The following is a 27,506-nucleotide window of genomic DNA, read 5'->3' as shown; positions in this document are numbered from 1 at the left end:
TTCTTGGCATACTGGCAAGATAGGGACTATCTCACCCAATACTTCCATAAAATAGGTGTAAGGTGGCTGGTGTCATAGAGGAATGGGGAGAAGGGAATAGATCTACAGGCTGCTACCATAGCCTTTTACAATAAAGGTAGTTTTGTGGCACTTATATTCAGGTAGAAAATATCAGCAGTGAACTAGTCTAGATTCAGGTCCTCATTCTCAACCTCCTGGGTAGGCTGATGGCTGCCTGGGTTGGAAAGGCCTGGGAATCTAAGCCAAAGTTTAGATGCCTCCCAGTTTTATTCTCCCCTGCATATCCCATAGTTGCTAGATTCCCTCTAATGCAGATGTTTCTTTTCTTTTCTTTTATGAAGTTCTTCACCTCACCAAAGAGAAAAAAAATGGACACCATTAACTGGGCCACTATCCCAAGTACCCAGACCTCCCTACCCACACACACCTTGTTTTCTCTTCAGGCAGCCTCTTACAATGGGTGATCTTTCATCTGTGAGCAAAATGGTGGCTCCTCACTGCTGTCCCATTCCAATCAATCACAAAATCAGCTTCTGTACCCTCTCTGCTGGAAAATAAAATTTTACAGGGTCCTCATCTGCTGTTCTTCTTAAGATCATCTTGTGAACAAAGGTATTATTTGTTTTATTAATCCAGTAGAGGGCTTCATACCCATCTCCAGTGTCAAACCGTGAGACAGTGCCCAAGCAAGATGTGGGTGCCAGCATGGGCTAATTCAACTGGGCTATGGGCTGAGTTGTGCAGGTTCCTAGCACTGCCGCAGCACATGGGTCCCCTGGCCAGAGCCTGGTTCAGTTTCTGCTTTCTGTAGCTCCCCCATACTCAAGGGACTCCACATCATTATTATTCCTGACCCCAGCTGGTAAAATGGGCTTGTTCATTTCCTCATGGCCCTGTTTTCCCACCATGCTACAGCTGGCCCACTAATATGCTTGTATTATTTTCTTACATAGTTTGTTTACAGCCCATCTTTTTCCACTAGAATCTAAGTCAGTGGTCCCCAACCCTCAGGTCATGGACCAGTACTGGTCCATGGCCTGTTAGGAACCAAGTAGCCCAGCAGGAGGTGAGTGAGCTTTGCCTCCTGAGCTCCACCTCTTGTCAGATCAGTGGTGGCATTAGATTCTCATAGAAGCATGAATCCTGTTGTGAACTGCACATGCAAAGGATCTAGGTTGCATGCTCCTTATGAGAATCTAATACCTGATGATCTGTCACTGTCTCTCATTCCCCCCAGATGGAACTGTCTAGTTGCAGGAAAACAAGCTCAGGGCTCCCACTGATTCTACATTATGATGAGTTGTATAATTATTTCATTATATATTACAATGCAGTAATAATAGAAATAAAGTGCACAATAAAGGTAATGTGCTTGAATCATCCTGAAACCATTCTCCCACCCGTTTGTAGAAAAATTGTTTTCCACAAAATTGTTCCCTGATGCCGAAAAGGTTGAGGACCACTGATTATTTATTGAAAATAAAATTTTCAATATTATTGCATGGATGAATATATGAAATTATTCATTTGTTCGTCTGCTGCTTGTACCACTAGAATTTAATCTCTGTTAGAATAGGTAGTTGGATGATTTTATTCACTGCTGTACCCCCCATGCCTAAAACAGTTGGTAAATTATAGTTATTCTATAAACATACACTGAATACATTTATTGAATGGCTGAATGAACTAACTCAATAATGTCTCTATAGAATGGTTAATTTTCATTTAGGCATTTTGCTAGTAACTTAAACAATTAAGCTTATTTTGGAAGAGGTGATTCATTTATTGATTCAACAGGATTTATTGAATACTTGTTTTTTGCAGGACCTATATTAAGGGTTCCTCTCTCACAGTTTTTAGTGAAATATACTAAAAAAACTAACTCAAAGAATGCCCACTGAGTGTGGCAGAAACTTCTGGTACTTGACAAAATCCTATATTTCTTTCTTCTTGGGCTGGAAGACTCCACTCTCCAGTTCTCCAGCAGTGATGTGTAGTACTGGAAGTGTTTTGTGACCAGAGGAAGGAGGCTGAGCTGTGGCACTGGAAGTGTTTTCTCAGCAGAGGAAGGAGGCTGAGGTGTGGCACTGGAAGTGTTTTCTCACCAGTCGAAGGAGGCTGAGTTGTGGCACTGGAAGTGTTTTGTCACCAGAGGAAGGAGGCTGAGGTGTGGCACTGGAAGTAGTTTCTCACCAGAGGAAGGAGGGTAAGGTGTGGCTCTGGAAGTATTTTTTCACCAGAGGAAGGAGGCTGAGGTGTAGCACTGGAAGTGTTTTTTCACCAGAGGAGGGAGGCTGAGGTGTGGCACTGGAAGTGTTTTTTACCAGAGGAAAGGCTGAGGTATGGCACTGGAACTGTTTTTTCACCAGAGGAAGGAGGCTGAGGTGTGGCACTGGAAGTGTTTTTTTCACCAGAGGGAGGAGACTGAGGTGTGGCACTGGAAGTGTTTTCTCACCAGAGAAAGGTGAGCTAAGGGATTGTGCCCTGATAACCATGGCCCACAAAATCCTCCCATGTGCAACTGCATGTCCTCTTTTTTTTTTTCACTCTGGCTTCCAGGAAGGCAGCAACCTCCAGGGCAATTTTGTGAGCTTCACCTAGAAGATGAGAGATCCTCAGTAATATTTAGGACCTGAATGAAAAGATGAAGAAGAGATTCTTGGCAAAACTACTTTTCTTAGAACTGACCTTAGAAATTACTTTTGGTTCAAGCACTTAGATATTTTTGCAGCCATTCTGTAAACCAGTTAGTGTACTCTTTCACAGAAACTCTTCTCTAAAATTTTACTCAATTTTTGTTTTTTTTGTCTCTACAGATTATGTTACCCACATATGGGAAGATTTTGTTGCCTCTATCAAATACTAATCCTTACTTCCTGCCTCTCTTCCTCTGATAGCCTTAGGTCGTGTTTCTTAAAGAGGTTTCCACAGTTCTCAACCTTGTGAAAGATTCTACACAGCACCTCTAGCACCTGCATCGAAGACTTTCCATGAGGCATATCCAGGTGTTCTCAAAACCCTGGAAACAAATATACATGAACATTCTCAGTATGTTCTGAGCCTCAGGGGAACACACACAGAGTGGTTTGTGAATGTCAGATGTCAGGAGAAGGTGTCTCATTCTCTTTCCCTTTCCTATTGTTTCTTACTTCAGAATCAAAACAATTTATAAATCTTTTTTCTAATGTTGTATTCTCCCATGAATCCTGCCAGACCTGGTTCTATGTGGGATGCCCTTTTCTTTGGGGCATAACTAGGAATAATTAAATACAACATTCTACTCCAAATCCCCTTTCACTCTGACAATCAAGGCTCTGATCTTTCCCAAGCTTTTTTATATGCTCTCTTTTTTCCTTGCGATAATTTGCTCCTCAGTGCTTCTCACAAATACATTTTTATCCAAATAGCCATGCAAGTTTACCACACACACACACAAAGACACACACACACACACAAATAAATAAATAAAAATAATAAAATAATAAAATAAAAAAAACAGAGGAGATTGACTCTCCAAACCAGAGCTCAAGGCTCAAGCTTAGCCTTGTTATATAACTTAGCTATTGAATTATGGCCAGCACCTTGCTTGTCACTAGACCATATGCCAGCCAAATACTATGGAAAGGAATTTATAGGTAAGGAAATAAAGAGTAAAAGTGTTGAGTTTTCAATATTTGTTTAGGTATGTTGGTTTAGTCATGTGTGTGTGCCTGCGTCTGTGTTTCTTCCATCCTATTTGCAATAATACTATCTACTTCTATTTACTTTGCGGAAATTTTTTAAAACCTATTCACTTAATCATGACTATATAGAAATATACTATTTATGTTTTCACTTTAATAAGGAAGACATGATAAAGTTTCTATTAGGCCCTTTTAGCTATAGATTCAATGTGATACATAGGGAGAGAATATGAATTTTTGAATCAGTTCTGTGGCCTAAGGTGAATTAGTAAATAAGTTAGTAAATAAGATATTTCTGTATAGAGCAGAAGTAGAATCATAAACATGTTCATATAAATTCCCTGTTAATATATAGCCTCTTTCAGAATTTATTTCTCTAATTCTTAAGTAAGACTATTAGTTCATTTTGCATATTACAAGGCTTAAACATAATGTATGCAAAATAAAATCTTATTAAGTACTCCATAAATAAAAATTTACTTTGTAAATAGAGAACAAACTTGGACTCTGTGCTTTGGGGAGATGACTTAGTCCCTCCTAATTGCTAGTTGACACTTCTTTAAAATGAGAAGAACAATAATAACTATCTCATAAAGTTGACATAATACATGCATTCCAATACACCAGTTGAATAGTTATTAAATTAGATAATCATTATTATTACTGGAAATTAGATTATTTTTCCAGACATATGTTAAAAGTCTGTCATCACCTTCAGCCTAAAGCATTTTGTTCTTTTTTCCTTTTCCCTTTTTAAAATAAGCACTAAATATTAAAGTGCCTGAATTCTTTAGTATTTTCATCATTTTTAAAAAATTTTATCTTGAAGTAATTTAGATGTATAGAAATATTGCAAGATAATAGAGTTCCAGTATATCATTTACCCAGATTCCTCTAAAGAGATTACAGAAACATGGTACATTATCAAAACCAGAGAATTAACATTGATATACTTTCATTGACTAAGCTAGAAGCCTGATTTGAATTTCCTGTGTCTTCACACTAGTGTTCTTTCTCTGTATCAACCTGGATCACATATCGCATTTAATAGTCATTTTTTTTTAGTTTCCTCCAGTCTATAAGAGTCTTTCTATCATTTTCTTTGTCTTTCATAACCTTAGCACTTTTGATAACAGTCAGGTATTTTGCATAATGTCATTCATTCCTTTTGTGTTTGTATGACATTTTATCATGATTACATGGAGATTTTTGTGTTTTTTTTTTCAAAAATGCCACTAAAATAATGTTTTACCCTTTTTATTGCATTATATCAGGAGGAATGTCATGTCAATATATCTTAAAACTGGTGATGTTAACTCTAATTAATTCATCACTTTTGTGTCTGCCAAGTTTCTCCACTGAAAAGCTATTGGTTTTCCTTTTGTAATTAATAGGAATCTTGCAGGGAGTTATATCTTGACTATGCAAATAACCTGTGCTCCATTATACTTTTCCTCAATACATTTAGTTTCCATGAATGATTCTTGCCTGCAACTATTATACCATGATGCATGCCCAAGGGTAATTATCTGTTTCTGTCATTCTTTCCACATTGCTTAATTGTGATTGTATTATAAGGAAGAGCTGTTGCTTCTTCCCCACCATTTACTTATTTATTCAGTTGTTTATTCCTATCAGCACAGACTCATAAGTATTTATTTTATGGTTCATATTCCAATACTATCATGATTTATGTTGTTACTTCAAATTCTTCCAGTTGAGATTATTGAAATCTTAAGTTGGTTCCTGTGTCCCTTTTAAATGCCTCCATCATCATTTGAACACTTCTTTACCTTCTTGCACCAGAAGAGGTTCCAACCTTATCTTATGTTTTTCTTCCCAATCCATTTCTTCATAAAAGATCCCATCCTTTTAAAAAAATAGCATTTAGAAATCAAGACCTGGTTATTAAGTGTGCTTATTGCTACTTGGGCAACAATATTGTGATATTGTTATATATAATATGCATCCATACACACTTTTACAGATATATATTAATGTATCCATGCACACATCAATATTTATTTCTCTACCATTTATCTATGGACATATGCAAAATCCATGACTTTATGTGATATAAATTCCAATCCAGCACCATAGAGTTCATTCTAACTTTTCTCCTTTCCACATTGTTACTTCTTTATCTAACATACAGAAACTTGGATCACATTATCCACAATATATTTGAGTATTTGTTCAATTCTAGTATACAAAAAAAAAGCATTTTCAGATTTTGTAATGCCTACATTTGCGAAAAGCAATGTTGCTAACTAGAGTACAATATCTCTTGTTTTCTTTTTTACCTTAACCTTTAATTTTACATTGCAATACTGCCTTCCAAAGTTCCTTAAATAGGTACTTTACTTTTTCACCCTCTTAAGTGGGAGTATGTTACTCATTTGTAATACAGTTCGGTTACTCTTTACTGCTTGTATTCCATGTTGGGTTTCCCTCACTTCCTGAGGGATTTTAAATTTTTAATCTATATTTTGGGTAGGCGAAACAATACTACAAACTTAGTTTCATGTCAATTCAAAAAGTATATTCCAAACAGTGTCACTGTCTTCTCATCTGTGCCACTCCACTCCACTTCTATTGTTTCATCCTCTTCACTCTGTTTTCACCATCTCCCTGTTAGTAATTGATCTTAATAGTTTCTGGTTATCATACCTGTATTTTTTTCTCCATAAATAAAAATATACATGTATATTTTCTTACATTCCTAACTTTCCTACATGAAACATATTATAGAAAACTCTGTTGCTCTTGGGTTTTTTTTTTTTTTTTTTTTTTTGGCTTAGCAATATATTCTGGGAATTATCCAACATTAGTTCATAGAAATCTACTTCTTTTTTTTTTTTTTTCCAAGACAGAGTTTGGCTCTGTTGCCTAGGCTAGAGTGCAGTGGCTCGATCTCCACTCACTGCAAGCTCTGCCTCCCTGGTTCACGCCATTCTCCTGCCTCAGCCTCCTGAGTAGCTGGGACTACAGGCGCCTGCCACCGTGCCCAGCTAATTTTTTGTATTTTTAGTAGAGATGGGGTTTCACCACGTTAGCCAGGATGGTCTTGATCTCCTGACCTCGTGATCCACCCTCCTCGGCCTCCCAAAGTGCTGGGATTACAGGCGTGAGCCACCGCTCCAGGCCAACTTATATTATGGATATTTAGTTTGTATCCAATATTTTACAATGACTAACAATGCTGAAATGAATAACCTGGTTCATATGTATTTTCATAATAATACATTGTGAACCTAAAATCAAAATCCTAATTGATGGTTGAAATCACAAAATTTAAATTCATTGAATTGTAGTTTTTTAAAGAGTCTTATATTTTCTTCTATTTCCTTTAAGAAAAAGGAATATTCTTAGTGTACTTTCATTATTTGAACTAAAGACACCTGCAGAATACTGGCTGTTACTAAAACACTTCAAAGAGGAATCAAAAATCCATTGCTAGTCCTGGTTTCACTAATTACCAGCTATGTGACATTTGGAAATCCATTTACACTTTAGTAACTGTTAATTGGAGGCTTGTCTAGCACATGCACTTTTTTTGAGATACATAGTGAACTGAGAGACCCATAAAGAACAGTTGTTCAGACTGCAGTCAACTGCCTTTCAGGAAACTCCTGGAGAGATGTGGGGGCGGGGGGGTGGCCAGGATCCACATGAGGATTAACCATTTCGTCCTAAAGATGTCTAAGGATATGGATTTAGCACTTTGATTTACATATTTTTTCTCACAGCATTTGCCTCATCTTTGGCTGATTCTGAATATCTGCTTGGAGGAAAAAAAGGTGCTAAAATTAGACGCTTTAATTTATTCTGCTACACACATATGCTCTCTTTCATCTGGCCAACTTGTAATAAGTGGATGTCCTAATCTCATCGTTCATATCTTTTTCATGTTGGCAGAGTTGAAAAAGAAAAAAAGAAGAAAAGCAGAAAGAGGAATTTGTGGAGAAGAAAATACTAAAGTCCTCCGGTCCCCCCAGAAGGAACTTTTTTTGTTAACATGACCTTACATTGTCCCACTGAATAATGCAAAATTTGTTTGGTTGTACCCTGCAGGGCTCCCAGGCCCGGAAGCCAGGGGCAGCAGCGGTACCAAGTTGGCACAAAGTAGCAGAAATGTCATTTTTTAATTATGTGGTTCTGAGGGGAATCTATTATCCACCGCTGAGATGCTGAAATCAGACAATTTATCTCCAAGGCAGCTCTCTCTACCATCTAGAATATATATCTTTTGTCACTGCAGGAAACAGAACGAGAGGATGTTTTTATTTCTGGTGCCTTATGTTTATAAGTTTATTCTTTTAAATTTTGCCAATGAAAAGAAATGACACCCTAACATATTTCTTGGGTCCCCTCTGCCCGCTTCTCCTTTGTGAAGGGTGTTCAAGTAACCCAGGCTCTTTTTTTTCCTGAGTTGGTATCAAATCTTCTAGGTCTCAAGTTCAAGAAGTCTTTGCATAGCCTCCAGATCATGTTCCGAATGCCCATTTCCAAGATAAATAGAAATAATTTGTTGAGAAGTCCCAAGAAAACCAGAGGCATCCACCTAAATTAATATAAATATAAACTGCTCTTTTGCATTTCAAACAAGATGCTGGAAACTATTTGAGTCATATCCATTCTCCCTCTCTATAAGCTATTTTCATTTAAATGTAAACTAATACTTATATCTACCAGCTTGTTCATAATGATTGTGCATTATTTCTGCTTTTTTTTTCCCTTAAGGTATCAAGGCAAATGAAAAAAATTAGCTCATATTTGTCTTCTTCCCCAACCTCTCCCTTCTTTAAAAAATCTGCTAAATTCATTATGTTCTCTACTCTGTGTGCATCAGGGCTCCAAGCAATTCAGATCTATTAACCATCAGGTACAAGCTAAAGTGCTTTTAAAACAAATGCCTGCAGTTTATTTTAAATGAATGTATGCTTTCTATATTCTGCAAAAGCATCAGGAAATTTGATCAAAACTTGGCATGGCTGAATGACAATAGCTGCACTGTCCTCTAGTGGAATATTTTAGGCATAACAAGACAAAGGCAGATAATCTTTTGGTCTTTTTCTTTCATGCGCCTATGTGAGTTTGTGTGTGTGAGTGTGTGTGGTGTGTAGCTTTTCAGAATCAAAGAGAAATGGTATGCCACCTGTTAGGCCTTTGAAGGTTTTTTATTTTATTCTGGAATACAAAATTTTCAAAGATTGTTGATTTCCTAACACCAAAAGCATATATCACTATGATATTTTCAGCTCTATCTCTGGTAACATGAGCAAGAGAAGAATGTGATAATCTTTACTGTAGACTTTATTGCTGTACATGTTAGAATGTAAACATTCCAGTTAGAATTTTAATCCACTTCGAGTATTCTTTCATAAGTATATGCAACTCAGAGAAGAAATATGTTTCAAAGAGTCATTCATACTTACATGTTTGTAAAATCGTTCCAATCAAACAGAAGAAAAATTATATTTAGAAAGATCCACCAATGGGTAATACAGGGTTGCCTCCACTATTTCTATTAGTAGAAATGTTAGATGTATTGAGGGATTTGATTCTGAATCTATCAAAGCAAGCATGTTCTGAAACCTCTTCCAGACTGACCTGTATTATTTGGGATTTTTAATATACAGGATAAACACACACACACACACACTTGGGAGTATGATGGGGAGGAAAGTGGAGCCAGTTGGGTAATTGGAATTTACTTTTTAGCTTCCTCAGGAACATTGAATCATAATATGTATACCTATGTAAATATGTAAACATCACAGAATCTCACCTCCAGACCTATCTTTAATGTATCCGGATCACCCTAATTTGTAGCTTGTTACAAAATCCTTGCCATTCGGCTGAATCAACGATATCTCACTCTTATCAGTTCCCATTTCCTAGACTCTCAGACAGAAAACCAGACACTCAATATGTTTTTCTTACTAACTGGGCAGCAATAAGATCCAGGCCCAGAATGAGACCTCATATGTTCAAATCCTATATCTAGTACCAGTGCTGATATTTCTAGTGAGTTGCATAACTCTCTGAGCTTCATTTCCTTGTCTATGAAAGGGAGATAATAATAATATCTACCTCCTAGAGCTGTGTGTAGATTAAATGAACTAGGACATATGTAAATCAGCATCACATAGGAAAATGCTACTGCAAAAAAGTTATGAGCTATATAAATACCATTCAAACTTTGAAGCATGAATCCAGATGACCATTTACCACTGTCAATAAGGATAAAGTCCCCAAAGTTGATAGCAAAGGAATGAAAGAGAGAGGGGGCAAGAATGGTTGTAGAAATTGAAGTCACCTGTGTGACTAAGAAAAACTAAATTTTCCCGAAATGCTGTTTGTTATTAACAATAGCAAACTGAGTATCACATGTAAGGCTCATGAGGAGTGGCAAGAATTCCTCTAGGAAAATTCTCTGTAATCTGTTAATGGATAGGGAAAGAAGTCCATACCTAAGGGAATTGCCTGGCTCTATCTGAAGCCTCACGAGTTCTATTCTTTGAGTCTTGGAGCAAGCATGTGAAGAGAAAGAGGCCTTTTCTTCTTGGTTTCCTCCAATACATCCAAAGTAAATTAAACACCTCAATTTATTAAGGCATTAATATTAAAAGACCATTTTACAGATGGGAAAAAGAATGATATGCTAAGCCTTGCAGTACTGGCTCTGTCCTTAACTGGTTGGCTACTAGATCTTATGAAAAAAAAAAAAAAAAAAAACCTTAAATTCCCAGGCATTTGATGTCCTGATTTGAGAAAAAAAACATAAATTTCTCAAGATTCTATACATGATTCTATCAGTTGGTTATGTCTTAACTGATTGATATGGTTTGGCTCTTTGTCCCCACCCAAATCTCACCACTAATTGTAATCCCCAAGTGTCGAGGGAAGAATCTGGTGGGAGGTGACTGGATCATGGGTGACGTTTCTCCCATGCTGCTCTCTTGATAGCGAGGGAGTTCTCACAAGATCCAATGGTTTAATAAATGGCAGTTTCTCATAGGCTTTTTGTTCTCTCTTACCTGCTGCCAGGTGAGACGTGCCTGTTTCTCCTTCCACCATAATTTTAAGCTTCCTGAGGTCTCCCCAGCCATGCGGAACTGTGAGTCAATTAAACCTATTTTCTTTATGAATTACCCAGTCTTGGGCAGTTCTTTATAGCAGTGTGAGAACAGACTAAATACACTGATGAAATAAAACCTGATTCAGAAACCTGATTCCATCCAATAATCCAGATACACACACACACACACACACGTGATATGGTTTGGCTATGTCCCAACCCAAATCTCATCCTGAATTGTAGTTTTGATAATCCCCATGTGTCATGGGAGGGACCCAGTGGGAGGTAATTGAATCATGGGGGTGTTCATGATTCAACAACACTGCTGTTCTTATGATAGTGAGTGAGTCCTCATAAGATCTGATGGCTTTATAAGGGGCTTCCCCTTCACTCATTTCTCATTCTTCTCTCTCCTGCCATCATGTGAAGAAGGATGTGTTTGCTTCCCATTCCACCATGATTGTAAGTCTCCAGAGGCCTCCCCAGCCATGCGGAACTGTGAGTCAGTTAAACCTCTCTCCTTTATAAATTACCCAGTCTCAGGCAGTTCTTTATAGCAGTGTGAGAACAGACTAATACAATATGTATGTATGTATGTATGCATGTATTTATGTATGTATGTATGTATATATGTATATAAAACACAACCTTCAAGGGGAAAATAAATAAACTTAGTCTAAAGAAAAACAAACAGTATAATACAAAAATATTCAGGCCATTGTGAATGTCATAAAAGTTAAGATAATAAACTATAAAGTTTTGAGAGATAGTTTTGACAACAGAATTACTACCCTGAAATTAAGCTGTAAATAACCCATTCCACTGAATTTAGTACTAATAACAAAGCTGTTTTCTGTCACCAAAATTCATATTAGGCAAGTCTCTTTGCTCTCAAAATATAAAAAAGTAAATAGAATATAATCAATTTAAATGTTTCAGAGGTACTCAGGTGTTCTTTAAGTATCTCTACAATTGGGTTATTTGTTTAAAATGCTTATGCAAACTTCCTCATGTATTTTGTAGGGAAACACGTGCTCCCAAGCATGCATACACATGCACAGAAACATGTGTAACTGAATGTTTGTCAAGGTTTGATTGTTAGGCTAAGAGATACGGTGCATTGTATTAAATTTTTACTTCGACTCATGTCCAGCAGGAATGCATATTTTTACCCTCTTCATTAATATTCTTAGGGAGAGCCTGGTTTTCTATCTTCTATCCTGTTTGAAAAGTCTTTAACAAAGGATCAAAATATGTAGCTTTTCTTAAATATTGTTGTAGTATTTTTCCTTTCTTTATTCTGTAAGGCAAAAGCCTCAACTTTATACAAATTTGTTTCTCTTATAAAATTTTTGTATTAGATAGAAAAATAAAAGAGGCGATTTTATAGCTCTATACTGCCAAGTGTCAAGTTTTTGTTTTTCTCCACTTGATATAAATTACCTTTCATCTTCACATTTAAAAAAAAATAAGGCTAGAATGAAATTATTATTTTTATTTTGTTTAACAATCCACTCCCTTGCAATAACAAGTCCTGCAGCATTGTTCAGCATAGCTTGGCTTTATTCTATTGCTTTTATTTTATTAAGAATATACCTCTTTCCAGTCCTATGGTATAATCATTTAGCAGTTGCAAAATTTCACCTAAAATATGCCAGCCTGAACAGATCTTCCAAGATTTGTGTGAGTTTAAATAGCATGGCAGCAGGTAGTAGATATTGGTTTTCAAAAATAGAACTATGAAATCAAATTAAAATCTGTTTAGTAAGGAAATATATGACAAATATTTTTATATGGAATATAAAAAATAAAACACAATCAATGAAGCTCCAGGAATGTTTATATTTTCTCTAAAACATATATAGATGACTTCCTTCCTTCCTTCCAGCCTGACTTCCTTCCTTCCTTCCTTTCTTCCTTCCTTCCTGCCTTCCTTCCTCCCTTCCCTCCTTTCACTCCCCTTTCTTTCTTCTTTCTTTCTCTTTCTTTCTCTCCTTCCTTCCTTCTTTCCTTCCTTCCTTCCTTCCTTCTTCCCACCCTCCCTCTCTTCTCTTCTCTTCTCTTCTCTTCTCTTCTCTTCTCTTCTCTTCTCTTCTCTCTTTCACAGCATTTCACTTTGTCACCCAGGTAGGATGGAGTGCAATGGCCCAACCTTGGCTCACTGAAACCGCCACCTCCCAGGCTCAAGTGATCCTCCCACCTCAGCACCCTCAAGATGGGGACTACCAACCCCCAAGTTGGGACTACGCACCACCACGCCCGGCTAAATTTTCTGTTTTCTGGTAGATAGGGAGTTTTCACCATGGTGCTCAGGCTGGTCTCGAACTCCTGAGCTCAAGCCATCCACCGACCTTGGCCTCCCAAAGTGCTAGGATTATAGGCATGAGCCATTGTGCCTGACCAGAAGTATATATAGACTTTCAATAAATGATTGTGAAAATGAAAATTAATCAGTTGTGTTGTTTGTAGACATGTTATAAAAGCTTCCATTCTCCAAGATGGTTACCTTTTCCATTCTTATTAAAAAGTATAACTTTCATTCTTTTGACTGATTTTAAATAGTTTTAAAGGGCCATGAGTTGTAATTTATTTATACTAAAATCTAGGAGAGAGAGAGAGAGAAATCAAGGGGGGGGGGGCTGTTTATTGAAAACAGAAATATTGCATATCTACATTGTCATTTTAAATAAAATTTCATGATATTTTTCTGCTGCCATAACTATTTCAACTAAGTGTATGATTTCAGTAGCATTATGACAAAACATAATAATTGTGTTTAATTAATTAAACCCTTAATTACAATATGTGTGTCAACATCATTCTTGATTTCTTTAGCAGTTTATTTAATCATGAGCTATATACTTCTTTGACTGATTTTTCTGTTCCTAGATTGTATTTTGCTTTTGTGATTTTTCTTTGCATAATAATTCCACATATTTTCCCATTAAAATTAAAGAATTAAAACTTAGTCACATAAGGTCATATGCAATTTACAGGGACAAAGAACAATAAGAAAATTTTAAAAAGCAGAAGATAATACAATGTAAGCAGCCTGTACTAGGCAATTGAAACATTTTCTTTTAAAGAAATATTGCTTTGTCTTCTTCACTACAGTTCCCTTGAGAGTGAGTGGTGTGTTAAGTAGAATATGGAGAGAAGGAAAATAAAAATTATAGAGCATTACAACCATAGAGAGTGTAGACAAGCAAAATGAACCTGATCCATACAAAATGCTTTTGTGAGAATTAAAGGATCACAAGCTCTCCCTGGCTTAGCTGGTCCCAGCTGCACATTCAGCCATTAAGTAATGACTGGAGATGCAATGAGAAAAGGAAATCTATCCTGAAGGTTTTACTGCAATGATTGATTTTGGTTTTTGCAACCAAAATTCAAAAGGTTTGGTAAGAATTGATCTTAGGCAAGCATTTCCTTTTTATCCTGCTGAATAAATACCAATTTTGGAATGTACTGAAGAATTTTGAAACGTTCAGCTCAAATCATGCAGCAAAATACATTTTGAATGAGATCATCCCTGAAAAAGCTAATGTAAGTCCAGAAGAGGTTAGAATTTGAAATACAGAATATTGTATTTTGAATCTCCAAAACCATGTTGGGTCATGTAGAGATTACTGAACTCTCTCTCTTTTCTGTTAGTGAACTGTTCATTCTCTGGGGGAAAAAAAAAAGAAAGAAGAAAGACTGTGTTCCAGACTGTATTATAAATTCATTAAATGTTGCTTAAGAGAAATTATAATAAATTAGAATATGAACCTGCACATGTCAGTCAGTGAGGATGATTTTAAAAAGGGAGCACAGCAATACATTCCATTGAGGACTAAAGTAGACGGATAATAGACGTGACCCAGTAGGGTACTTTTTCTATATTCTGGCACTCTTAATAATAAACCGATTCATGTAATTCATCCAATCTTTTATCAAACAATCATTTAACCTCTACTATGTGTCCTATGCACAGTAGATATAGCAGGGAAAAAGAAGACAAAGTGTTTGCCTTCATAAATTTATATTGCAGTGGGAAAAAGTAGAAAAGTTACATGAATTTAAAAATATATATTTTTTTATTTCCAGCTACAAAGAAATGAAACACATGAATGAAACAGCAAGTGACCAGTGACTAGATGGGTAGAGGACAACATTAGTGTGGTTATAGAAAATGTTGCTAAAGAAGTAAAACTTGAGCTGAGATCTAATTGATGAAAAGAAAACACCCATGCCACGATGCAAAATACGTGGCTTCTTAGAGGTGAAAGAAGAACCAACAAGTTCAAAAGCCCTTCAATAATAATACCTCTGCCACATTCAAGGGAAGAAAATAAAGAAAGAAAAGGAAAAAAAGAATGAGGAAAAGAAGGAAAGGAGGGAGGGAGGAAGAGAGAGAGGGAGGAAAGAAGGAAGGAAGGAAGGAAGGAAGGAAGGAAGGAAGGAAGGAAGGAAGGAAGGAAGGAAGGAAAAGAAAGAAAAAAGAGAGAGAAAGAAACAAAGAAGGATAGGAGAGGAGAGGCAGGGAGAGGAGGGGAGGAAAGCGAGAGGAAGGGAGGAAGGGGAGGGGAGAGGAGGAAGGGATGAAAGAGGGAAGGAAGGAAGGAAGGAAGGAAGGAGAGAAGGCCCAGTTTCTAGAACCAAGACCATGTGGATGAATTGTACGGACTCAGATCAGAGACTGGAAAGGGCAGATCACATAGGTTTTGTGGGTCATTGTAAAGTTTCAGGGTTTAGTTCACAGCATAATCGGAAGCCATTAGAAAGTTTTAAGCAAGGGAGTGCTAAGATTTGATTAGGATATGAAAAGATCATTTGGACGTAATTTGGAGAATTAATAGAAGATGCATGGCAAAAGAGGTAGGAGTGAAGATGAGGAGTTAACATTTATTCAAACAAGAAAAAAATAGGAAAATTTATTCCTAGCGTCCCCTGTCTTACTATACAATAGAGTTTGTGAATGAAAATTATTTCAAGAAATCCAGGGCAGTGTTTGCTACACAGCAAGAGTAGAGTTACCATGAGAATTAAGCTCCAGAATTCCCCATTTGCACAGTTCCTTCTAAGATTCTGAAGATTCTGAGGATGCAGAAATTGTGTATTCACAATTTTGTGTTCTTATTTAATTTTATGTAAAAGGGATTAGCAAAGTGGACAAGCTGCAGGCTCATTGACTTGGATCAGCCTTAATGTTAGGCCTGCTATCCAAAACCAAGATATTTTTGTCCTACAACATGCTCATTATACACTTTGAATCATATGTTATAGCCAATATCTTTTTCCTAGCTAGTTGTTTTCCTCAATTGTATCTTCAAGGGTATGTGCTCCTTGAAATAATATTCTGTGTACGTTTTCTAATTTGTTAGCTCACACAGAGGTCTAACTCAAAGTGTGTCTATTTAAATGAATAAAAGATTATCAACTGAGGTGTATGGCTGAAACTTCAAGGACAGGTCATAGGTTAGGTTACAAAACAAGTCTTAAAACATTCAAAAAACTTGAGATAATATAAGCATCTTTTCAGACCACAATGGAATAAAACTATAAATTAATAATGAGGAATTTTTGAACTACAAAAATACATGGAAATTAAATAATATACTCCTGAACGACCAGTGAGTCAATGAAGAAATTAAGAAGGAATTGAAAAAATTATTGAAACAAATGATAATGGAAACAAAACATACCTAAATCTATGGGATACAGCAAAACTAGTACTATGAGGGAAGTTTATATGTGCATACATCAAAAAAGAAGAGACACTTAAAAAAAATCTAATGATGCATCTTAAAGAACTAGAAAAGCAAGAGAAAACCAAACCCAAAATAAGTAGAAAATAAATAATAAAAATCAGAGCAAAAAAGAAATTAAATTGAGATGAAGAAAACAATAAAAAAGATCAATGAAAGAGAAGTTAGTTTTTTAAAAAGTTAAACAAAATTGACAAACCTTTTGTCAGACTAAGAAAAAAGAGAAGATACAAATAAATCAGAAATGAAAAAGGAGACATTATAACTAATACTGCAGTAATTCACATGATTATTAGCGGTCACTATGAGCAACTACATGCCAATAAATTGGAAAATCTAGAAGAAATGAACAAATTCCTAAATACATACAACCTACCAAAATTGAACCCTGAAGACATCCAAAACCTGAATTGATCAGTAACAAGTAGCAAGATGGAAGCCATAATAAAAAGTCTCCCAATAAAGGGCTCAGGACCTGGTGGCTTCCCTGTAAAAGCCAGGGACATGGTGGCTTCCCTGAATTCTACCAAACATATAAAGAAGAACTAATACTAATCCTATTCAAACTATTCCAAAAAACAGAGGAGAAGGGAATACTTGAATACTTCTAAACTCATTCTATGAGGCCAGTATTACCCTGATATAAATACCAAACAAAGACACATCAAAAAAAAGAAAACTACAGGCCAATATCTTTGTTAAATAGTGATGCACCAAAATGATGGGAGTCATTAGAGAGGGTTCTCTGCTTCCCTGCAAAAGGCCTTTTCTAGCATTTTTATTATCATTATCACCACCCTTTATATATGGATGGAAATTTGTGATTGGCAGCACGTTTCAGAAGTAAATTAAGTAATTTGTTTCTCAACAAATCTGTAATGCAGAGATAACTTCTCCATTAGTCACTGAAGTCTATTTTTGGAAAACTGGTGATGAAATCTTCAATAAATTAGCATATAAAGTATGGCTTTCAGCAGGGCTGGTGGCTCATGCCTATAATCCCAGCACTTTGGGAGGCCAAAGCTGGAGGATTGCTTGAGGCCAGGAGTTCAAAGAGTTTACCCAATTAGCTAGTTATTATCTTCTGTTACTGTAGAAACCAATGGTCTCCTTTGAATCAGAGAAAATAGATTATAATAGCAATTAATGCCTGAAGCTAGTTATTCCTAGAAGAGCTAGCCCTTGGCTGTTGCAGCCTGATGGGTCCCTGGGCCTGTTAATTAATAGCTAGTCATTAACTACACTGTGTTTTGCCATCGAAGAGTTTCATGCTTCCTTTTCTGACTTATTTTGAACATAAATACGACTTGCCTTGTAACAAACACTACTTGAAAACATTGTCACATGGGATTTATTTCTTTACATAAGAATTTTTAAAAACTAAGGCAAACCTTACACATTTAAACCACAGGTATAAATGGAAGAAATACAGATTTCCAGAATCAAGATAAAAGAAAATAAACCCACAGTGATCCGGTTGTTTTGCTAATGCATATCATGATGCTACCAGGCCACACTGACCTTTATGTGCTCTGATCTGCAGTTGTTCCATGAAAAGGTCAAATCATGGCCCTGTTATAAACCAACTGCACACCGCTGGAAACATAGGACAGGGGTTGACAATCTAAGAGTACCAGATGCATTCCCCCACATGGTTTAGCTCAGCGAGGGGAGAAATTCCTCCTACTTAATAAAGTTAAATCTTCCTCCTTAGCTATTGTCCCTCTTGGGAAAATGTAATATTGATTGGCAGCTTGGGAAGGATTTTGATTTTATGCATTATACAGAATGCTGGAGATTAAATAGGCAGACAACCTCCCTGGGCTGTGAGAGAAGGCTAGACTGTGTGCTTATTGGTATTTTCACAGGTAGTTTCAAGTTGACTTTGGAAAAAAAAAATGGCTGTCTATTTCAGGTTTCATATTAAGCAAAGGATTGCTCTGAAAAACATTTAGTCCCTACCCTTACCAAAACCAAACAAACAAAAAAGAAAAAGAAAATAAAAGATTAAAACTGTTTATTTTGCTGTTTTCAGTAGAAAACACAGATAAATAGCCATAAAAGTATAGCTACAATTCTTAGCACCAACTATACATCAGCATAATCTGGGGAGTATTTTATTAAAAGTATGAATTCCAAGGCACCAATTCTGGCTGATGCTGAAGTACATCCTTGAGTAGCAACCATTGAATTGTAAAATGAGGAACAGAAAACTAAAGCTTGCCAATAAGTACAATTGCCATGACTACAGAATTTATTGCAGGATGCTATGTAATTGTAATAATGAGTTTTTAAAAAGTAGAAAAGACACTGACAATAAAGATTCTAGTTAAAAATAAATATATAATTTCAAAAATGCAGCATTGAATGCTAAGCCACCAAAAGGGATAACACAGGCAGGCAGAGGGAGAGAAAGAGAAAGAAACAGACTGAAAGATCAGTCTGTACTTGTGATAGTCAGATGTTTGTGTCAACTTGTTTAGGCTACAGGTTTCCAGTTATCCAATCAAACACTAATATAGGGGTCGCTGTGAAGATGTTTTGTAGATGTGATTGATGTACATAATTAGTTAACTTTAAGTAAAGTAGCTTACTCCAGAAAATCTAAGTGGGCCTGATTCAATCAGTTGAAAGGTTTTGAGAGCAGAAATGAGATTTTTCAGAAAAAGGAATTCCACTTACAGACTGTAGCATCAGCCTGTTATTCCTGCCAGCCTGCCCTGTGGTTTTTGGAACTGCCTATGATCTCATAACCCAATATCTTGTAGTAAATCTCTTAATATATATCTCTTACTTGTGTTTTTCTGGATGAACTTTGATACACAAATGCAAGACTATTCACTCATCCCTACTCACAGGAAAAATTCTCTGGTTTTAAAGAAATCAGTTTCCATCACGACTCTATTTGGTATTAGGGCCCCTGAAATCCTGTGGAACCTGGCATTGTGCAAATCTGCATTGCTCAGTCCTCCTGGAAGTGTATTTTATATAACTGCCTGTAGAAAATAAAGAGAAAATATTCCTCACCTAGAAGGAAGAATCTCATCATTCTCAACTGATCAACTCCTTGTCTTAATAATGTTAAAAATCAAAAATTACTTTTAAGTAAAATGATAAATGAATATATAGGATCCCTTACTACTAAGTCAATCAAGTTGCTGGTTTTCAGAGAATACAATCTAAGGGTACAGTGTTTTATCAAGGCTAATTTTTTTCGGGTTGTTCCACATGTGACAGGAAGTTGCTAAAGTCTCAGCGTAACACCCACCTGTTCTGTGGGGCTTCCCCAAATGTCACAGTCGGTCCAACTGTGGATTAAAAATATTTTAAAAATAATTACATTTTAAAATACCATAAAAAATAATAAAATAAAAAATAATATAACAACAGTGTACGTAGCATTTACAGTGTACAAAGTATTATAAGTAATCTAGAGATGATTTAAAGTTTATGGAAGGATGTGTGTAGGTTATATGCAAATGCTACACCATTTTATATAAGGAATTTAAGCATTCTTGGATTTTGGTATCCCTGGGGAGATCCTGGAACCAATTCCCCAAGGATACAGAGGGACAACTTTACTCTGTTTCTATGGCTTTCCACATTCCTAACTTTCTCCCTACATTCCTTTTCATATTTAAAAATGTGGCACTAGCAGGTGATATTGGACATTATTGATTTTCTCGTAATTTGCATGTGCATTCTCTAATGTTTCTTAACCGTATGAATCATGTGCTATAGCCTCTCACAGCTCATGTATCACACACGCAGCTCTATGCATTGTTTAAAAAAAACTGCTAATAAAGTTATATTTACATTAGAATATTTGATGACATCAATGATATCCATATATAACGTATAGGCTAAGATAAACCTTTTAAATTCAGCAAGTAATTTCTAGATATTCAGAAGAGTCTCAACAATTATTTGTATCATGTATAAAATCCTATAGTAGTAATTCAATCTTTTATAATTGTTTTCTGCTCCATTTTCAGTAATAGAGGTTTGGGCAGATCTTTTTCTTTCTGGACAAACGGTTTTTATTAAAGATTTCCCTTCAGGAGAAAGCAGTACTCTAATTTAACAGACAGGGATCACAGTAAGTTGTTCCCTAAATGCATGGTCATTTAATGTGAACATTTATATTCACTCATTAAGAAATGGTATTGAACATCTATGAGGTTTAAGATATTGTTCTAGGAATTCTACACAGGCAAAACCCACTGCCCTTACAGAGCTTATATTACAATGAGGAAATAGGACGCAGACTATAAAATAAAGGAGTAAATCTTACAGGCATTAGAAGGCACTAATGTTGTGGGGGTAAAGCAAGGGAGGAGAATAGGAAGTGCAGGGGGCAGGAGCAGGGTAGGAATAGGCTGGTAGTGTGCAATCTGAACGACAGTAGTGAAAGTAGAGGCTGAGTTTCCACTGAAAAAGTGATGTTTGACCAAAGACATAAAGGAAATGAAGATGTGAACTATGTAAAAATCTGCCAGAAGAGAATTCCTGTCAGAGGAAACAGCCTAGGGCAGAAAGTGTCAGAAGCATTTGGAGAATAGCATGGCTGGGGAAGTCAGTGGTGGGGAAGAGTAACAGAAAGTAAAGCTAGAGAGCTAAGTGGTGCTACAATCATGTAAGGCATCATTGTAGGTCAAGGTCAGAACCTTGCCTTCAACCATAAATGTGATGCAGAACCGTCAGTGAGATTTGAGCTGAGCACTGGTCAAGGTCAGATTTAGAGTTCAGAAATCTAGTGTTGGTGACTGTATTTGGAATTGATGATGAGAGAGCAAGGGTGAAAGAAGAGAGACAAGTTGAGAACCCATTGCCATAATCCAGAGGATAGGTTGTGCACAGATGACCGTACAAGTGAAAGTGGTGAGAGATAGCGAGGTGTGTGTTAAAAGTAAAGCCTTTAGGATTTTCTCAAAGACCGACAATGTGCTGTAAAAGAAAATGAGTCAAGGAAGGCATGAAATTATATTTTCAAAACATACTGTTACATAAAGTGATATGTTTTGAAGACTGAAGTCACCTGTATTGTTGATGCACTAAACTCAAGTTGTTATCAGGAAAATTTTCTCGTTAGTAACACAAATCTGCTAATGAGTTTCAAAATCTATTAAAGAGTGTCATAAAACTAAACTTACGTTAACACCTGCCAAAGAAATTTGCTGTTAACAAAAAAGCTGTGAAATAAACTTTAAAAAAAATCTCAATCCATTCTGTTTATTAAATAGGCTAAAAAGCAGCCATACATTGGAGCTAGCTTGAATCAGCTGGGGAGAGCCGACAGCCTGCAGTTCTCTCCAATTCAGTGTATAGTGACATCACCTGATAGCTTAAAATTGGCTTTGCTGGAAATATTCACATCAATGGAAATTGTCAAATACTACAAACCCAGGTTTGTTTGTTTTTTAGTCTTTCCAGTGAACTGGTGGTTAATCATTCACCAACACAACAATGCTAGCAATAAGAACAAAAGCAATTGAATTTTAATATTCAATTAAAAGGAATTTTAAAGAACTGTGTTCACTCCTTTTTTTTCTAAAGTTATAGATCACTTATTTGTGTTGCATGAGGCCTTTTACTAATAAAAATAAATCAGTTATTTCGAGCCATTTTCATTAATATTTTCAGACTATTCTGGCGAACAGCAGTTAAAAAAGATGGGTGAGAAGTAACAAATAACATTATCTTTAAAATCTGAAAAACCTCAGTATTTTCTATTCTGTGAACTCTTGTTATAAGTTGTATTAAAACACAGTTGTTTCATCTTTAAGATAGGGAGAGCACCCCCTTTAGAGCACTATTGTGGAAATTTAGTAAATTGGTAAATTTTCTGTCTCATAGTAGGCACTCAGCACATGACTGTTCCTTTCCTCTCTTTTCTTTGAAAACCCTCCTCCCCCTCCAACTACTCACCTCCTTGATTAGCAGGGCTTGACTTCAGAATAATTGAACTAGTCTCCTCATTAGAAATGGTTTCCTCTTTTGGTTTTTCTTGTTTTCCATATATTTTTGAAACAAACTGTATTGAGGTATATTTGACATATATATAATCAACTGCACCATTTAACATGTAGAACTAAAGTTTGATAGGCATGCACACCTACAGAACCCCAGCCACAATCATGACAAACAACACTGGCATCACTCCCAAATTTCCTCTTTTAGTAGTCATTCCTTCTCTCTACCGCCAGTCCCCAGACAATAACTCGTCTGCTTTCTATCAATCACCATACAAATTTTCCAGTTTCTAAAATTTTATGTAAGGGGAATAATTAAGCATCTACTCTTTTGTATCTGATTTCTTTTGCTTATTATAATATTTTTAATATTCATCAATATATGAGATTTCCCATTTTTTCACCATCTCCTTAACACTTGGTATTTTAAGTCTTTCTAATTTTAACCATTCTAATGCTTTAAAGGTTCTTTTTTCCCCGTTAACTAATGATGTTGAACATCTTTGGACATGTGTAATGGATATTCCTGATTTTTTAAAAGAGTTGCCCTTTGATTTTATCTTTTGTATGTTTTTACTTGTTTTTACTTTTATTATATCCTTTGACTTATTTAAAGATTAATTTTCTCATTAGTTTTCTAGTTTCCTAAAGAGGGAAACTGAATCATTACATTTAGTAGTTTCTTATTTTCTAATATGTATGTATTATACCGGTTGGGTATGTAGTCTCTATAAATGTCAGGAGGTTAAAAGATGGTTAATAGTATCATTATTTTGGCTAGTTTTTTTCTCTTTTTTTTTTAACGAAATACTGAGAAAGGTGTATTAATGTTTCCAAATATAATTATTAGGTTTCTGATTTCCCCTTTTAGTTCTGAATATCTGTTATTAGGCACATCCCATATGTAATTTTATTTTCCTGATTTATTGGCACTTTTATTACTATTAAGTGTTCATCCTTGTCTTAGTAATTTTCCTGTCTCACAGTCTATTTTTTCTGATATGAGAGGACTTCAAAAAGTTTGTAGAAAAATAGAATTATTAATATTAAAAGATATAAATAAAAATATATATTTATTTCTCAATATAAGCTCCATCCAGTTCAAGACACTTTTGTAGGCAATGATATAAGCCATTTAGTCCATCCCTAAGGAACTGAGGGTCCTGGGAATTTAACCATGTAAATTTAGTCTTTTTTTACATTATTAACTGAAGAAAATGGATGCCCTTTATAATTATTTTTTAAGATTAGGAAACATAAAGAAGTCAGAAGGTAAGCCGGGTGCAGTAGCTCACGCCTGTAATCCCAGCACTTTGGGAGACCAAGGCAGGTGGATCACGAGGTCAGGAGTTCGAGACCAGCCTGACCAACATGGTGACACCCCATCTCTACTAAAAATACAAAAATTAGCCGGGCATGGTGGTGCATGCCTGTAATCCCAGCTACTCAGGAGGCTGAGGCAGTAGAATCGTTTGCACCCGGGAGGCGGAGGTTGCAGTGAGCCGACATCGCGCCACTGCACTCCAGCCTGGGCGACAAAGCAAGACTCTGTCTCAAAAAAAAAAAAAAAAAAAAAAGTCAGAAGGAGCCAAATCAGGACTGTAAGATGGAAAACTAATGATTTATCATAGAAACTCTCACGAAGTTGCCCTTGTGTAACGAGAGGAATGAGCAGGAGCAGTGGTGGCAAAGGACTCTCTAGTGACCCTTTACTGGGCATTTTTCTGCCAAAGCTTAACTGACTTTCTTGAAATTCTCCCATCGTAAGCAGATGTTATTATTCTTTAGCCTTCCAGAAAGTTAATAACCGCAATGCTTTGAGCATCCCAAAAATCTGTCACTGTGACCTTTGCTCTTGAGGGATCCACTTTTTCCTTGACTGGACCACGTTCCTCTCTTGGTAGCCCTTGCTTTGATTGTGCTCAGGATTATACATACTGGTAACGCCATGTTTTATCTCCTGTTAGGAGTCTTTGAAAACAATGCTTCAGGTTATTGACCCCACTTTTAAAATTCCCTTTGGAAGCTCTGCTCTGGTTTTCAGCTAACCTGGGTGCAACAGTATTGGCATCCATTGAGTGAAAAGTTTGCTTAACTTTAATACTTGGGTTAGAATTGTGTAAACTGAGACAATTGAGATGTCTATGGTGTTGGCTATCATTTCTGCTGTTAATTATCAGCATCTTTCAATTAGGGCACAAGCAAGAGTAATACTTTTCTCATTAATTGATGTGGATTGTGTGCCACTGAAGGCTTCATCTTCAACATCATCTCTTCCCTTTTTAAAATGAGTTATTCACTTGCAAACTGCTCATTTCTTTGGAGCATTGTCCCCATAAACTTTTGGTAAAGCATCAGTGATTTCATCACTCTTCTACCCAAGTTTCAGTGTAAATTTGATGTTTATTATTGTTTTAATTTTAGTAGAGTTCATGTTGCTCTGATAGGAGCTTTTTTCAAACTGATGTTTTGTCCTTTTAGTGCCTCAAAAGAGATCCTGTTCAGACATGTTATAATAAGTTAGTACAAGTTCATTCTAGTGCAAGCAATATTTTAAAATCTGTGCATAGTTTTCTCAAAATATGCATTTTCCATGAACATTTCGAAGACACCCTTGTATAAATATGACCCTTTCAAGTTTCTTTAGCTTACTACCTACATATTATTTTTTTCTTGCTGTTACTTTCTATTCGTGTTTTGCATCTAAAGCATATCTCATTTAAAATATGGAGTTGGCTCTTGGTTTTGAGAACAATCTGAAAACCAATGCTTTTTAATTAGGTGTTATTCTACTTATCATTAACAAAAGTATTGTTTGATTTGCCACTTCAATATTTGTTTTCCATTTTTTTCTCATTTTCTTTGTTCATCTTTTTTTCTGTCTTATTTTCTGTTAATCAGGTTTTTTTAGTATTCAATTTTCCTTCTTATTTTTGCTTTCTAGCTATGTTTGTTTTCATAATTTAGGGTTTAGAATTACAGTGTGTGTTTTAAGAGTCCAGGAATCAAATTGTTTATCCTTAACTTATCCCAATCAACTTAAAGTTAGTATTGAGTTTACTTCTAGTAACATATAGAAACTTTAAGGCAGCATATTTCAATTTATTACTCTATGCTGTACTTTGTGTTACTATTATTACATATATGTTATTAATCTCTTAATATCTTATAATTCTGCTTTTAGCAGATTTTTTTAGGAAATTAAGAAATGGTAAACACTGTGTAACAAAATATTGTTTACCCACATATTTACTGCTTCCTGTGCTTATGATTGCTTTCTGAAATCCAAGGTGCCTTCTGGTATGACACCCTCCTTTTAGCATTTCTTGGAGTGCCTTTCTGCTGACTCCAGATTCTCTCAGTTTTTGTTCATCTGAAACTTGTCAGATACAGAGTTCTCTGTTGACATTCCTGTTTTTATCTGAATCATTTGAACATATTGTTCTAATATTCTGATCTTCATAGTTTTCCTCTTATTTGTAACTGTTCAAGAGTAAATGCTCCTCTAGCTTCTGTCACCTTTTAGCTACTTTTCAGTTCCCTGAAGTAATTGGCTTTCAAAATTGATACTGTTTTTATAATTTTTATGTGTAAAAGGGTTTAAACAACCACTTCACTCTGCCACCATTAAAAAATCAGATGATTTCATCTTGAATCATCTTTTAAATTTTGTGCCAACATATAGATGATACCATAAATGTTAAAAACAAAGGTGTATGAATTTTGAGAAAATGCAGTATAATGAATTTCATTTAAATTTTAGATGTAAAAATAATCTGCTTCACAATACATTTCTTAAAACTTAGACAAAACCTTAAAACTATGGTAACATTCTCTACTGCCTTTACTTTTATTTTAAAAGGCAAGATATATTTATTCTATATGTGCTTTTCAAGCTATGTATATATTTCATTGAAGAGGGATAGGAAGTGGGAAGAGCAGATGAAGTTTTTGGCAGAGATAAAAGTCTGCCTGTGGAAACATTTGTTGAAGCTATTTTAAACTCCTCCTTCCTATGGGATTAGAATGGTCTTGCTGCTAGGTTTAAAGTTCAAAAGTCATAACTGAATTGATAACTTGGCAAACCTTGCATTTACCTTTTTGGATATTGAAGTGCTCATCTATTGACAAAATGGCATTTTATGAGTTTGATGAGGGTATGAGTGAAATGAAGTTTGAATAGAGGTGACAATGGAAAAAAGTAAAGGTGATTTATATCCATAGAAGTTTTGAAATACTCCGATTAAAGGCCTTACTCTCAGTGCATCAAAACAAAGCCTGGTACTAGTAAAAGCTATTATTCTGAAGTTACTGTAATTTTCTTTTTTGTTGGGGGGAGAAAGGAAAATAATAATGTTATCTCAGAGAACCAAATGGTAAAAGAAAACAAAGTCTAAAGATAAATACTAAAAAATGCTTAAAGCCAAATGTCTTCACACCTAATAAAATAAGTCAAGTTGCATTCTGGTTTTTCTACCTTGTGAACATCTAGCTGATCTTGTAAAATTCGAACTACATATTATGGAAGTATTGATAGGAAAACTACATGGAAAAGAATTGATTTCCTCTTCTACTCCTCCTCCTACTTCTTTTTCTTCTTCTTGAAGTAAGGTTTTGGAGAAAATCCTTAACATCTAATTTGTTACTTTAAAACATTTCTCTCTAAATTTTATTTTTTAAAAAAAAATCATACAGAACACTGAGGTATAATCTAAATTATGGATCAAGGTATTTCAATTTAACACTTGCACTGTGGCATTTGGTCAACGTAAGTACAGATTCCAATGGGCCCTTTTATGTACTTACCCCTTGAGTAGGCTCCATGCTGCTGCTCTCTCAGTGTGGCTGCTCTCATAGATGGCATTGATAGGCCAGGGTGAATACAGAAGGCTCAGCCAGTATGTTTGGTGGCCTCGGAACCAAGCAAGAAACATTCATGGACAGGGCCTCTGGGTCCAGGTCCTTTGAAGCAGCAATCCACCTTTTCAGAAAATAC

The 27,506-nt window shown here is 35.8% G+C and overlaps 1 long non-coding RNA gene across 1 annotated transcript; it reads right to left on the bottom strand.

Moving 5' to 3' along the window:
- Window positions 1-440: 440 nt before the first annotated feature.
- On the bottom strand, window positions 441-27,506 carry LOC105370601 (uncharacterized). The gene is made up of 5 exons (XR_944092.3): window positions 27,317-27,506; window positions 22,467-22,572; window positions 19,807-19,846; window positions 5,498-5,573; window positions 441-2,653 (listed from the first exon to the last, which is right to left on the bottom strand). It is a non-coding gene; the product is annotated as an uncharacterized LOC105370601 (long non-coding RNA).

This window comes from Homo sapiens, chromosome 14 (assembly GCF_000001405.40).
Source record: "Homo sapiens chromosome 14, GRCh38.p14 Primary Assembly".
NCBI classification, from domain to species: Eukaryota; Metazoa; Chordata; class Mammalia; order Primates; family Hominidae; genus Homo; species Homo sapiens.
The sequence above is the reverse complement of the archived record's forward strand: the minus strand, read 5'-3'. Positions and strand labels throughout refer to the sequence as shown.